The sequence below is a fragment of the Homo sapiens genome, chromosome 2, assembly GCF_000001405.40.
Source record: "Homo sapiens chromosome 2, GRCh38.p14 Primary Assembly".
NCBI lineage: Eukaryota > Metazoa > Chordata > Mammalia > Primates > Hominidae > Homo > Homo sapiens.
Genome location: NC_000002.12, coordinates 176,336,550 through 176,350,571, shown reverse-complemented (window position 1 = coordinate 176,350,571; position 14,022 = coordinate 176,336,550). Strand labels below are relative to the sequence as shown.

At 35.9% G+C, this 14,022-nt stretch overlaps 1 protein-coding gene and 1 pseudogene across 5 annotated transcripts in view; both read right to left on the bottom strand.

Annotated features, from left to right (window-relative positions):
* On the bottom strand, positions 11,495-11,935 carry PPIAP67 (peptidylprolyl isomerase A pseudogene 67; annotated as a pseudogene).
* The window catches only part of MTX2 (metaxin 2), a 68,584-nt gene continuing 67,108 nt past the window's right edge, over positions 12,547-14,022 (bottom strand). For all 5 annotated transcript variants that reach the window (NM_001006635.3, NM_006554.5, NM_001319098.2 and 2 more), the window contains one exon: positions 12,547-13,079. In NM_001006635.3, coding sequence (NP_001006636.1) covers positions 12,908-13,079 — 172 coding nt within the window. In that variant the 3' untranslated portion in view covers positions 12,547-12,907. The remainder of the gene's footprint in view (positions 13,080-14,022) is intronic.

Genomic DNA, 14,022 nt, shown 5'->3' with positions numbered 1-14,022 from the left:
ACGTCACTAATCACCAGGGAAATGTCCATCAAAACTACAATGTGGTACCATCTCACCCCAGTTAGAATGGCTGTTACAAAAAAAAAAAAATGACAAACGCTGGTGAAGACACCAAGAAAAGGGAACTCTTATACATTGTTAGTGGAAATGTAAATTAGTACAGCCATTAGGAAACACAGTATGGAGGTTTCTCAAGAAACTAAAAACAGAACTACCATATGATCCAGCAATCCGACTATAAGTATTTATCCAAAGGAAAGGAAATCAGTATATCTATGAAATATCTACACCCCCATCTTTAATGCAACACTATTCACAATAGCCAAGATACAGAATTGACCTAAATGTTCATCAACAGATAAATGGATAAAGAAAATGTGGTATATATACATAGTGAAATACTATTCAGCCACAAAAAGAATGAAACAGCAACATGGATACAACTGGAGAACATTATGTTAAGTGAAATAAGTCAACCATTTCTATGTAGATAAATACTGCATGTTCTCACTCATATGTAGGAGTTAAAAAAAAAAACTGAGCTCATAGAAGTGAGGAGTAGAATTATGGTTATTAGAGGCTGAGAAGGATGGGGGAAATTCTTTTCCCCCCATCCCTCCCCAGTCAGGAGAGGTTGGTTAATGGTTACAAATTACAGCTAGATAGGAGAAATAAGTACTATGATTCTAAAGCACTGCTGGGTGATTACAGCTAACAATATTATATACTTTTAAATAGCTAGAAGAGAGGACTTTGAATGTTTCCAGCACAAAGAAATGTAAAATATTTGAGGTGATGGATATGCTAATTACTCTGATTTGATCATTACACATTGCATACATGAAGTATCACTCTGTACCCCATAAATATGTAAAATTATGTGTCAACTAAAAATAAAAACTCCCAATATTAAATTAAATAACTGATATAATTAAAATAGTAAATAAAATAGGAGAAATCTTTTAATCATCCATAAATACTCTAAAAGTATTTTTAAGTGTTTGATAGAATTTCATTTCCATTCTTGACTTAAGCACACTGACACATAATATTCCAAAACAAAAACTTTACAATTAGAAGGAAATTTCCTTAATCTGATGAAAGGACATTTACTCAAAACATACGGATACACCGTACTGAATGGTGAAATACCAGAAGCATTTCCATTATTACTGGTAACAGGATGTCTGCTATCACTATCTTTCAATAGTGCACCAAGATCTCGCCCCTGCAGTAAAAGAAAAAAAAGAAGGAAAGGAAAAGGAAGAGAAGGAGAAGGGGAAGGAAGAGACATTACATTGAAAGGAAAAAGACTTATTCCTCATTAGAAAACCCAAAAGTAACAAAAGCAAAATAATGAAAGAGATCAGTTAGGTGGCTTGATTAAAGATCAGCATGTAAAAACCAAAGCTTTCTGATTCACCAGCAATGATTAACTTAAAAATGAAATAAAAAAAGATTTAATTGCTAATATTCCCTCAAAACCATAAAACAAGTAGGCAAAAATTTTAAAAAAATGTTTAAGATCTACATGCAGTAAAATATATAAAGCTTCAGTGAAGTACACAAAAAACTTAAAGAAATTTACCATGTTTTAAGAGAAAAAAATTTTTTTAATGTTGATTCCTATCTAATTATAAGAAAAGGATCTTTCTTGGGAGGCCGAGGCAGGCAGATCACAAGGTCAGGAGTTCAAGACCAGCCTGGCCAATATCGTGAAACCCCATCTCTACTAAAAATACAAAAATTAGCTGGGTGTGGTGGTGCATGCCTGTAGTCCCAGCTACTCGGGAGGCTGAGGCAGGAGAATCGCTTCAACCCAGGAAGTGGAGGCTGCAGTGAGCCGAGATCATGCCAATCCACTCCAGCCTGGGCAATGCAGTGAGATGCAGTCTCAAAAAAAAAAAAAAAGAAAGAAAGAAAAGGATCTTTCATTTTTATTTAGCATTAACTTAGAAGTCCTACTAACCACAAAAAGACAAGAAAAGAAAACAAAAATTTTAAAGATTAAAATGAAACAAAACTGCCATTATCTAGGGTTTATACCTTTCATCCATGGAAAACTACAAAGGATCCTTAGAAAGATCATTAGAATAAGAGAGCTCAAAAGGATTTTACTAGATGGATTCCATACATGAGAACATTTTTTACAGCAAAAATCTTAAATTTCAATTAAATATCATTTATAATAAATAGAAATGGAGCGAACAGGCACACAGGAACATAATCAACAAAAGATGGTCAAGAACTCCATGGAGATAATCATGAAACTTCAATGAAGGACATTAGAAAAAGCCTAAACATGGTAGCATGACACATTTATGGATATAAAGACTTAATTTTGTAAAAATAATGATTCTCTCTAAAACAACCCTGAAATTCAATGTAAATCCAATCAAAATCCTAGTTTTTGTTTTTGGTAGATTCTATTATTTAATAGAGTCATCATAAATTATCATCAAAAATCCCTGTACAGAACATAGGATCTAGGCAAATGGAAGCTGGTGTTTTGTAGGACAATTCTTCATACTAACCAAAACCTGAAGGACTTTTTTTCTCCTAACTTTTATGTAGGGGGGGGTACCATGCAGTTGAAAATTATACCTTTCTCAATACGTCTGATATCAGTTTCCCCTTGACTTCCTCTACAGATTTCAACAAAAAGTAAACCGAATATGCTCAGCAATCTCATAAAGGGTTCTTTGCTGTATTACTTCTGATGTATGATTTTATTTTATTTTATTTTTTGAGACAGAGACTCACTCTGTAACCCAGGCTGGAGTGCAGTGGCACAATCTCGGCTCACTGCAACCTCCGCCCTCAGAGTTCAAACGATTCTCTTGCCTCAGCCTCCCGAGTAGCTGGGATTACAGGCGCCTGCCACCATACCTGGCTAATTTTTTAGTATTTTTAGTAGAGACGGGGTTTCACCATCTTGGCCAGGCTGGTCTTGAACTCCTGACTTCATGATTCACCCGTCTCGGCCTCCCAAAGTGATGGGATTACAGGCATGAGCCACCACGCCTGGCCTTGATGTATGATTTTTAAGGTCTCGTTTGATAAAGTAGGCAAAACTTAAAATGAAAACACTAAAACACACAGAAATATTGTGGCTCAACACTACACAATGGGTTATGCTTCCAGTCACCTGCTCTATGGTACTAAGGTCCACCACAACCATGTTAGATCCCAAGACCAAGAGGTCTAAAACTGAACTCTGACTTATACATAAGAATTGAGAAGGATGTCCTGAACAAGAGACAAAAAGTTCAAATCATAAAAAAAAGATTGATCATCACATTGACTATATTAAACTTAAGAATCTGTGTACATCCAGACACCATAAAAGGATTGAAAAGACAAGCCACAAACTAAGAACAGATATTTATAACAGTTATAACCAACTAGGTGTTAATATCTATAATACCAATAGGATTCCCATAAATCACTCACAATAGAAAAACAACCCAACAGAAAAATAGACAAAGCAATTATGAATAGCTTTTTCACACATACACACACACACACAGACACACACACACACACACACACACACACAAAGAAAATAGCCAATTAACATTCAAATATACTCAGCTCAATGATAATCTGGAAAATACTAATTAAAACCACAATTGAAAAAATTTAAGTCTAATAATCCCAAATGTTGGCAAAGATATAGACAAGTGTAAGTGTGTAAACTGGCACAAGCATTTAGGAAAACAATTTGGAATTATCTAATAAAGTTAAATATACACATACCTGACAACCCAGCAATTACATTCTTAAGTAAACACTCCTGTATACCTGTACCAGGAGATATGTACAGGAGTGTTCATAAACAGCTATTTTTATATTGTAATGGAAAACTGGACACAATCCAAAAGTGTACCAATGAGAAAACAGAGAAATAAAGTGTTATATTTGCCTATGAAAAAATACTATACAACAGTGAAAGTTAACCAGTGCTAGGCTCAAAGTAGGTGAAACAAAAATATATAATATTGTGTGAAAAAAGCAAAACAAAACAGAGTACACACAGCATGATTCCATTTAAATGAAGATCAAAAACAGAAAAAAGTTAAATCATGAGAATGATTAACACAAAATCAGGATAATGGCAACCTCCAGAGGTGGGGTAAAGAGCTGGGATTAGATGAAATTGCTGTCACATAGAGATCTTCTAAGATACTAGTAATGTTCTATTTTTTCACCTAGGTGTGAATATGATCTATGTAATAACAAAATATTAAGAAAAAGAAACATGTTTGTGTAACACATTTTTAAAAGCAGACTTACATGAACGTATATGCAACACATATTCTTAATAAAGCTTATTCTAACAATGGGGGTATAGACAGCCCTAAGTTGGTAACTGTTTAAATGAGTTAGTGTTTGATAGGTACACGAGACTCCTTTTTATGACTTACTCTACTTTTATATATGTTTGAAATTTTTCATAAAACCTGTTTTGAAAATTCAATACTTTTAATTCTAAATGAGTATTTCTTATCAAGAATAAAAAGGAACCTAGATTTCCAGCTTCTGCTTACAATGTAGAAAGATTTAAAAAGCACTGCTCCCACCCTCACAATAACAACAAACACCAGACAATATGCAAATTCACCACGGTTCTTGAACTTATACAGCTGAGGCTGCAGGACCAACGAATCCAAAATCTAAGGACAGAAGAGTCACAAGCACTTGCTTACCTGAAACAGATACTACTGGACAATGGTAAGAAAAAGTAAGCTAAATTTTTTAACTAATTGCTAAAGGTTTATTATAAGCAAACAAGAGTCTCTAAAAACCCTGGGGGTCACAGACACAAGGGGAATTCATACTCATTCATAGGTTCTTCTCCAAGAACCTCACAGAAAGTTTTTTTTAAAAAATTGCAGACACGGTAGGAATCCTAAGAAAGTGACCCTTGCTCTTTGGAGAGAACAGTTGCAGCTGTAGGAAAGGCTTAAAGCCCCCAGTTGGATCCTTCTCCCCTATCTCTATCCTTATTTTGTCACATGTTGATGGAACAAAAGGTGCCAAGGAAAATAAATTGCATAGCCATATGAAAAAAATAAAAGAGGAGACTCCTACCTCACACCATACGTTAAAATTAACTCAAAATGAATCATAGACTTAAATGTAAGAGCTAAAACAATAAAACTTCTAAAAGAAAAAATAGAAGAAAAACTTTGCAACTTTGGATTAGGCAAAGATTTCTTACATATGACAACACACACTCCATAAAAGAAAAAGTTAGTAAGTTGGACTTTATTAAAATTTAAAACTTCCACTCTTCCAAAGACACCAGTGAAAAATGAAAAGACAAGCCACAGACTGGAGTACAGTGTGTATTATTTGAACATAAGCTGTGATTAAAGATGTATATTGTAAGCCTTGGCTATTATTAAAAAACTGAGTTATAAATAATAAGCCAAGAGTGGAGACAAAATGGCCTCATTAAAAGTCAATCAAAATAATAAACGGTTATAAGAAACAAAGAACAAGCAGAACAAATAGGAAACACTTGGCAAGATGATGTTTTAATCCACCTATGTCAATAATTACATTAAATGAAAATGTCCTAAATGCAGCAATTAATACAGCAGTCCCCAACCTTTTTGGCACCAGGGACCAGTTTTGTGGAAGACAATTTTTCCACTGAACAAGGTGGGGTAGGGGTATGGTTTCGGGATGAAACTGTTCCACCCCAGGTCATCATCAGGCATTAGTTAGATTCTTATAAGGATCAGGCAACCTAGGCCAGGATTCACAGGTGTGGCCAGTGTTCCCACTCCTATGAGAATCTAATGCCCGCTGCTGATCTGACAGGAGGTGGGTCTTAGGTGGGAATGCTCACTTGCTGGGCGCTCACTTGCTGTGCAGTCTGGTTCCTAACAGGCCACGGACTGGGACTGGTACCGGTCCATCGCCCAGGAGTTGGGAACCCCTGAATTAAAAGAGAGATTGTCAGATAATCCAAGACTCAATTCTGAACTGTTTATACAAACACAGTGTAGGCTGCCACCATGGCTAATGTCTGTGATCCCAACACTTTGGGAAGCCAAGGCAGGAGGATTGCTTGAGGCCAGGAGTTCAAGACCAGCTGGGCAACATAGCGAGACTCCTGACTCCATCCAAATAAAAAAACAAAGAAATAAATATATTTTAAATAAAAGGTTACAAGTAGGCTAAAAGTAAAATGATAAAATATATAAACCTTGCAGCTGGGAGCGGTGGCTCATGCCTATAATCCCAGCTCTTTGGGAGGCTGAGGCAGGAGGATCACTTGAGGTCAGGAGCTCGAGATCAGCCTGGCCAACATGGTGAAACCCCATCTGTACTAAAAATAGAAAATTAGCCAGGCACGGTGGTGCGTCCCTGTTGTCCCAGCTACTTGGGAGGCTGAGGCATGAGAAGGGCTTAAACCCAGGAGGTAGAGGTTGCAGTGAGCCGAGACTGCACCATTGCACTCCAGACAGAGTGAGGCTCTGTCTCAAAAGTAAAAAATAAAAAATATATAAACTTTACAAACATTAATCTAAAGAAACCCTGAGTAGTCACTGAAATAATTAAATTAATATCAGACAAATAACTGTAGAATAAGAAATATCAGGGATAAAAAGAGCACATGTTGCTAAGGGGATCAATTCTTCAAGAAAAAATAATAATCCTAAATGTATGTGCATCTAACAAGAGATCTTCAAAATGCATGAAACAAGTTGATAGAAATGGTAGGAGAAAAAGAAGCCACAATTCAACATCCTTCTCTCAGCAACGCAGAATACTCCTCTCTTAGCAATGAAGAACAAGGAGGCAGAAAATCAGTAAGATATAGAACAATTAAACCAGCCAACCAAGAATAAAATCAACCAACCTGATCAACTTAATATTTATAGAATATTCCTCCCAACAACAGCAGAATAAAACATTCTTCTTTTTGTTTGTTTGTTTGAGACGAGGTCTCACTCCCTCACCTAGGCTGGAGTACAGTGGCACGATCTCAGCTCACAGCAACCTCCACCTCCTGGGTTCAAGTGATTCTCCTCCCTCAGCCTCCCAAGTAGCTGGGATTATAGGCGTGCGCCACCACGCCAGGCTACTTTTTGTATTTTTAGTAGAGACATGGTTTCACCATGTTGGCCAGGCTGGTCTCTAACTCCTGACCTCAAGTGATCCGCCAACCTCAGTCTCCCAAAATGCTGGGATTACAGGGGTGAGCCACAGTGCCCAGCCCCTAAAACATTCTTTACAATTGCACATGGAACATTCACCAAGATAACCACATTCTGAACCGCAATGCAAACTTGAACATATTTAAAAGACTTCAAATTATATAAAGTCTGTTCTAGAAACATAAGTTAAACTAGAAATCAATAACAGAACAAAATCTGAGAAATCTTCAAATATTTTCAAATTAAAGAATACAGTTATAAATAACCCATAGATCAAAGAGGAAATTGGAAAATATTTTGTATTAAATGAAAATAAAAGCACAACATATCAAAATTCCAAGCAGTGTTTAGAAGGAAAGTTATAGTATTAAATGCCCATATTAGAAAAGAGTCTCAAGTCAGTCTAAGCTTCCACATTAAGAAACTATTAAACCCAAAGCAAGTATAAGGAAGGAAATGACAATGATAGAACAGAGAAGAAACTGAGAACAAAACTACAGAGAGAAAAAAGAAAGTCAATGAAACTGGAAACTAGGGGGAAATTTTTAATTGATAAGCCTCTAACCGGACTGACATAATTTACAAATATGAAAAGGGAAAGATGGGATATTACTATAGGTGCCACAGATATTAAAAGGATAATTAAAAAAATACAAACAACTCTATGCCCATAAATCCAATAACTTAGAGAAAATGGACAAATTCTTTGAAAGGCACAAGCCAAAGCTCACCCAACAAGAAACAGATGACCTGAAGAGTCCTAAGTATATTAAAGAAATCAAAATTTTCATTTAAAATCTTCCACAAAAAAACCTCCAGGCCCAGGTGGTAAAATTGGTAAATTCTACAGAACATTTACAGAGAAAATAATAATATCAAATCTAAACTCTTCCCAAATGTAGAATAGGAAAGAACCCTTTCCACCTCTTTTAATGAGGACAATATTAACATGATACTAAAACCAGGCAAAGGCACTACAGGAAAACTAGAGACCAACATTTCTCATGACTATGGACATAAAGATCCTAAACAAAACACCCGGAAATAAAATCCAACAATATAAAAAGAGATAATATATCACAATTAAATATGATTTATCCCAGGATACTAGAGTTGACCTAATATTTGAAAATCAATTAATATAATTAGCCACTTCAACAGAATAAAATTTTTAAAAACCTATGATCAACTCGATGGATGCAGAAAAAGCCTTTGATAAAATATACCATCTATTCATGACCTTAAAAAAAAAAAAAAACACTCGGCAGACCAGGATTAGAAGGGAACTGCCTCAGCTCAGTAAAGGGCATCAACAAAAACCTACTCTCACACTTAATGGTGAAAGACTGAATACTTGCCCCTTAAGATACCACAAACAAGGTAAGAACATCCATTTTTTCATTCCCATTGAACAATGCACTGTGCTAGTTAGTGCAGTAAGGCAAAACAAAAGCAAAACAAAAAGGCATACAGATTGGAAAAGCTGAAATAAAACTATATTCACAGAAAACAGGATTGTCCAAGGAGAAAATCTCAGAGAAACTATTACAGTCTTATCACAATCGCCATAATTCAGCAAAAATGAAAAAATAAAGATAGAAATCTTATTTCAATTCTTAGAAATTTAAAAACAAATTAGGAAAACATTTATATCAGTCTAGATATAATCAAACCTTTAAATATTTCCTTTTAAGGCTCAATAAAATTTATAAATGATTTAATATATGTAAACATAAATGGATTAGACATACTACAAAATAGTTGACCAAGAAGCCACTGGTTTTAATAAACAAAAATGTCAGTATGTTCAAAAAAATTATAGTATCTTAAATTTTACTGTGGAATGTAACATCTTAAAATACCTCAATATAACACCTATATGATTAAATGACAACCATATACAATAGTAAAATACCATTCACTATTTGTTCATCAAAAAAGCATCAAGACCTATTATACTAATCTTTCAGATTGACATATTTTATAATTTCTAATTTTTCTGGATTTAGGGGAGGGATCCCAACCCCTGGGCCATGGACCCTTACTGTTAGGAACCAGGCTGCACAGCAAGAGGTGAGCAGCTGGCAAGCAAGCATATAGCCCTAGCCTTGGCTCCTGTGAGATCAGCAGTGGCATTAGATTCTCATAGGAGCACAAACCCTATTGTGAACTGTGCATGTGAGGGATCTAGGTTGTGTGCTCTTCATGAGAATCTAATGCCTGATGATCTGAAGTAGAACAGTTTCATCCTGAAACCATTCCCCGTTCCCCACCATCCCATGGAAAAGCTGTCTTCTACAAAACCGGTCCCTGGTGCCAAAAAGGTTGGGGACCACTGATTTTGAGTACCTAATGAACTAATACTACAGCTACTCATCCAATATTCAAATCAATTAAAAAGTAGTACGTTGGATTTCTAAAAAGTGTCATAGAAGATAAAATTATTTTAAACACAATAATGTAGATCATTCCAGTCATCAAATATGATACTGTAGACATTGTTGATTTAAAGTTTCTCATATGTAAAACCATCATTCTGAAGAACTACTTACAATTTAAATTTTTATTTAAATAAGGATGCATGTGCTTATTTTAAAATTCACAATATATGTAAGTATTTTGGCAGCATTTGTCAACAAACTGGTTTTACATGATAATTTTTAACTACTATGACTTGGCTTTCCAAACTCAAATTTAAAAGATAAAGGAAAAAAAAAAAACTGAATCACGAAAACGAGACGTCAGTTTCCATTTTCTATTGTATTGTTCCAAGGGTGATTCACCTCAACACTAGAAAGAAACAAGCCCTCTGAGAGTGAGCCATGTAAGTCTTAAATAAGAGTAAGCACCTCAACTTGGAATAAAACAACCAGTTTCCCAGTGTTCCTCATATTAAGAATACAGTCAGTTATAATCATTAAGATTAGAATATCACAACCAGGCCAGGTGTGGTGGCTCATGCTTCTACTCCTAGCACTTTGAGAGGTGGAGGTGGGCAGATCACTTGAGCTCAGGAGTTTGAGACCACCCTGACCAACATGGTGAGACCTCATCTCTACAAAAAATACCCAAATTAGTCAGGCATGGTGGCATGCACCTGTAGTCCCAGCTACCTGGGATGCTGAGATGAGAGGATCCATTCAGCCTAAAAGGTCAAGGCTGCAGTGAGCTGAGATTGCACCACTGCACTTCAGCCTGGGCAATAGGGTGAGCTCCTGTCTCAAAAATAAAATAAAATATCACAACCCATGTTGACATTGCATCTTTATATCTTTATATAGAAAAATCTCAAAGAAAACATCAGAATTTTGTATACTGAGGTACAAATGGTACTTGTACAATTAAATAAATGTGATGGTAGCATTAAAAGAAAAAAATACATCATTATATACCAGTACACAAAAATGTATACAAAACCTGTCATAAAAATTGTACAAAAACACAGATAGCTAGGGATTTTAATAATACACATTACAATATTAGCTCAGGAAACCTACTAAGAGCACTATAGTCCAAAGACAGTACTCAAAGTTTACATGGGATTTACACGAAGGCAAACCTAATGTATCCTTTACATGGTATAAATCTCTATCTTAAAAAAAAAAAAAAAAAAAAAAAGCATGGTGATGAGAAGCCAAACTCGGCCAGGCACCATGGTTCATGCCTGTAATCCCAACACAGGTAGGAGCCTTGGGAGGCCGAGGTGGGTGGAGCACTTGAGCCCAGGAGTTCCACAACAGCCTGGGCAACATGGTGCAATCTCATTTCTACAAAAAAATACAAAAATTAGGCATGGTGGCAGACCTGGACTCCCAGCTACATGGAGGCTGAGGGAGGAGGATCAACTGAGCCCGGAGGAAGGTCAAGGCTGCAATTAGTCATGAGCATGCCACTGCACACCAGCTTGGGTGACAGTGAGACCTTGTCCCCCAGAAAAAAAAAAAAAAAAAAAAAAAAAAACTTTAAAAAAAAAGCCAAACTGATGCCATGACTCATGGGTGTGAATTCCAACTCTACCATTTACCAACTTTATGACCTTGGACAAGGTATTTTTTGTGTCTCCATTTCCTCATCTGTAAACTGGGAATAATAACCTTCATGGTGTTTTGTCTTTGTTGTCAAGTTTTTATTTTATAATCATAAAATTAACCATTCAATCTAGCTAGATGTAGAAGGGAATAAGGAAAATATGGAACCCAAAGTACTACAGTGAGAGCACAAAGATTATGGGATATTGCAAACACGTAGAGTGGAAGGTTGCTCTCCTGAGCTACAGAAGGAATAGTCTGGTAGTTAAGATAACACAAAATTCAAATTTATTAGAGTTGTCCACAGTTGGCAATGGTGATCTTCTTGCTCATCTTGCCATTCTTGGACCCAAAGTATTCCATGGCTTCCATGACACTCATACCCTCTCTCTCACCTTTTCCCAAGACCACATGCCTACTATCTAAGCCTTCAGTCTTGGCACTACAGATAAAAAATTGGAAACCATTTGTGTTGGGTCCAGCATTTGCCATGGGCAAGATGCTAGGACCTGTATGCTTCAGGATGAAGTTCACATCATCGGATTTTTCCCCACAGATGGTCATGCCACCAGTGCCATTATGGCATGAAGTCACCACCCTGGCATATAAACTCTGGAATAATTCTGTGAAAGCAAGAACTCTTAAACCAAACCCTTTCTCTCCAGTGCTCAGGACACAAAAGTTTTCTGCTGTCTTTGGAACTTTGCCTGCAAACAGCCCAAAGGAGATGCGGAACTCCTACTTGGCAGCTATGTGGGAGAACATGGAGCTGATAATGGCTGATGGCAGGCGCCTCCAGATGGTAGCAGTGTCTGCAAAGCCATCCTATTTTTATAAGGATTAAATAAGTTAAAATTCCCTGGTACATAAAAAGAAAATATAAAAGTACTATTATTCTAGACATTTTTAAGAAATCATTTTTTACGTCTGTCTCTTCAGAGCATCCCTGGTTTTATAAGATATAAACTATGAGAAAATTTGGAAAGGACACAACATATAATCCTTAGTGTTTACATAAAAATTCCTGTTAATACTTTTGTGAAAACTATCTTCCCTTCCCCACAAAGGAATAAAAGAGCATTATTAAAATGTTCTTGTCTCAAAAAAAAAGGTTCCTCAAACTTTTCCTTTATCAAATGTAAATCACAGCTGCTCTGATGAAATGTTTTTTAATTAAGTCTCTATATAAAGAATGTTCTTAAATGTCAAATCTGCACCAAAATTTAATTACCTTAAAACCATCCATATTTTCTAAGTGCACACTTGTTAAGAACGTTTATTCCCATTATCTGCTTCACCATGTAACTAGCAAGGGAATCTTGGGAGTATGTAACACAAATTACTTGCCTTAGAAAAGACACTGTTTATTCCACATGTGTAAAATTCAGTGAATGACTTTCAGAAAAATCAAAAGAAAGTAAATGTAACATCCATACAGTTGTTTAAGCTTTATTTTTAAATGCATGCATGTTTCAAGGAAACAAAAATTTCAAGATACAGAATACAACATATCAGATTAAATAATTCAGAATTATTTTAATGTATACACAAATAACAATATAAAGCACATACATAAGATACATTATATAATTTGAGGTTTCAAAAAGCAGTAATTTGGTTTTAAAATTCTGACACCAATATCTAATGTAACATTCAAGTAAAACATATTTCAAAAGTTAAGACTCCTGAGACTAACACATAACTCTATGACAGCCTGCCTTTACCACGATCTTCAAAATAGTGCTGTTCAATTCTCCTACAGAAAGCAAGGAGGTTGCTATAGTTTTTCACCTTCTCAGAAAGTTCATCATTTGTCAATTGTGTGGTAAGAATGGTGTATAGATGGCCAAATACCAGTGCGTCAAGTTCAGTAGGCCTAAAAGTAGAAATGAGAGTAATGTGAGTAAGTAGCATTTAACTTTTACAATAGAAAACACAGTTGGCCCTCTTCACCCACAGGTCCCATACTCGTAGGTTCAACTAACCTCAGATCCAAAATATTTTAAAAGATTAGAAATAACAATATAGGCCAAGCATGGTGGCTCATGCCTGTAATCCCAGCACTTTGGGAGGCTGAGGTGGGCGGACTGTTTGAACTCAGGAATTCACAACCAGCCTGAACAATGTGGCAAAACCTCATCTCTACAAAAAATACAAAAATTAGCCAGGCATGGTGGTGCTTGGCTATAGTCCTAGCTACACGGGAGGCTGAGGTGGTAGAATGGCTTAAGCCCGGGAGGTGGAGGTTGCAGTGAGCTGAGATCACACTACTGCATATCATTTAGATTGTGTGTATTGGGTACTATAAGTAATCCAAAGATGATTTAAAATATACGGATGTACATAGATTACATGCAAACACTGCACCATTTTTTCTTTCTTTCTCAATACATTAAGTTTACGTAAGCAATTATGCCATTTTATATAAGAGACTTGAACTCTGCAGATTTTAGTATCTGTGGGGGTCCCGGAACAAATGTCCTGTGGATACTTGAAAGACCCCCGTGGATATGTTTTTTAAAATCATTTTATTCATCAACTTAAAAGAAAAAAGCCACGTAAGAAACAAATCCTACCACAACTTGATATAACTTTTCTTGGAGTTTCTGCTATATGGAAAAAAAATATGATTTGCTAGTTGTGTGACTTGCTTTCTTTAGTAACAACATTTAGGTGTGTTAAAATAATATAGATGTAATGATCATATTCATTTAATTCATTACTTTTCTCACTAAATATAGCAGATCTCCAATGTGCCAGAAACCATACCAAATGCTAGACATAAAAACAAGAAAAATACTCTAAGACATGTACATGAA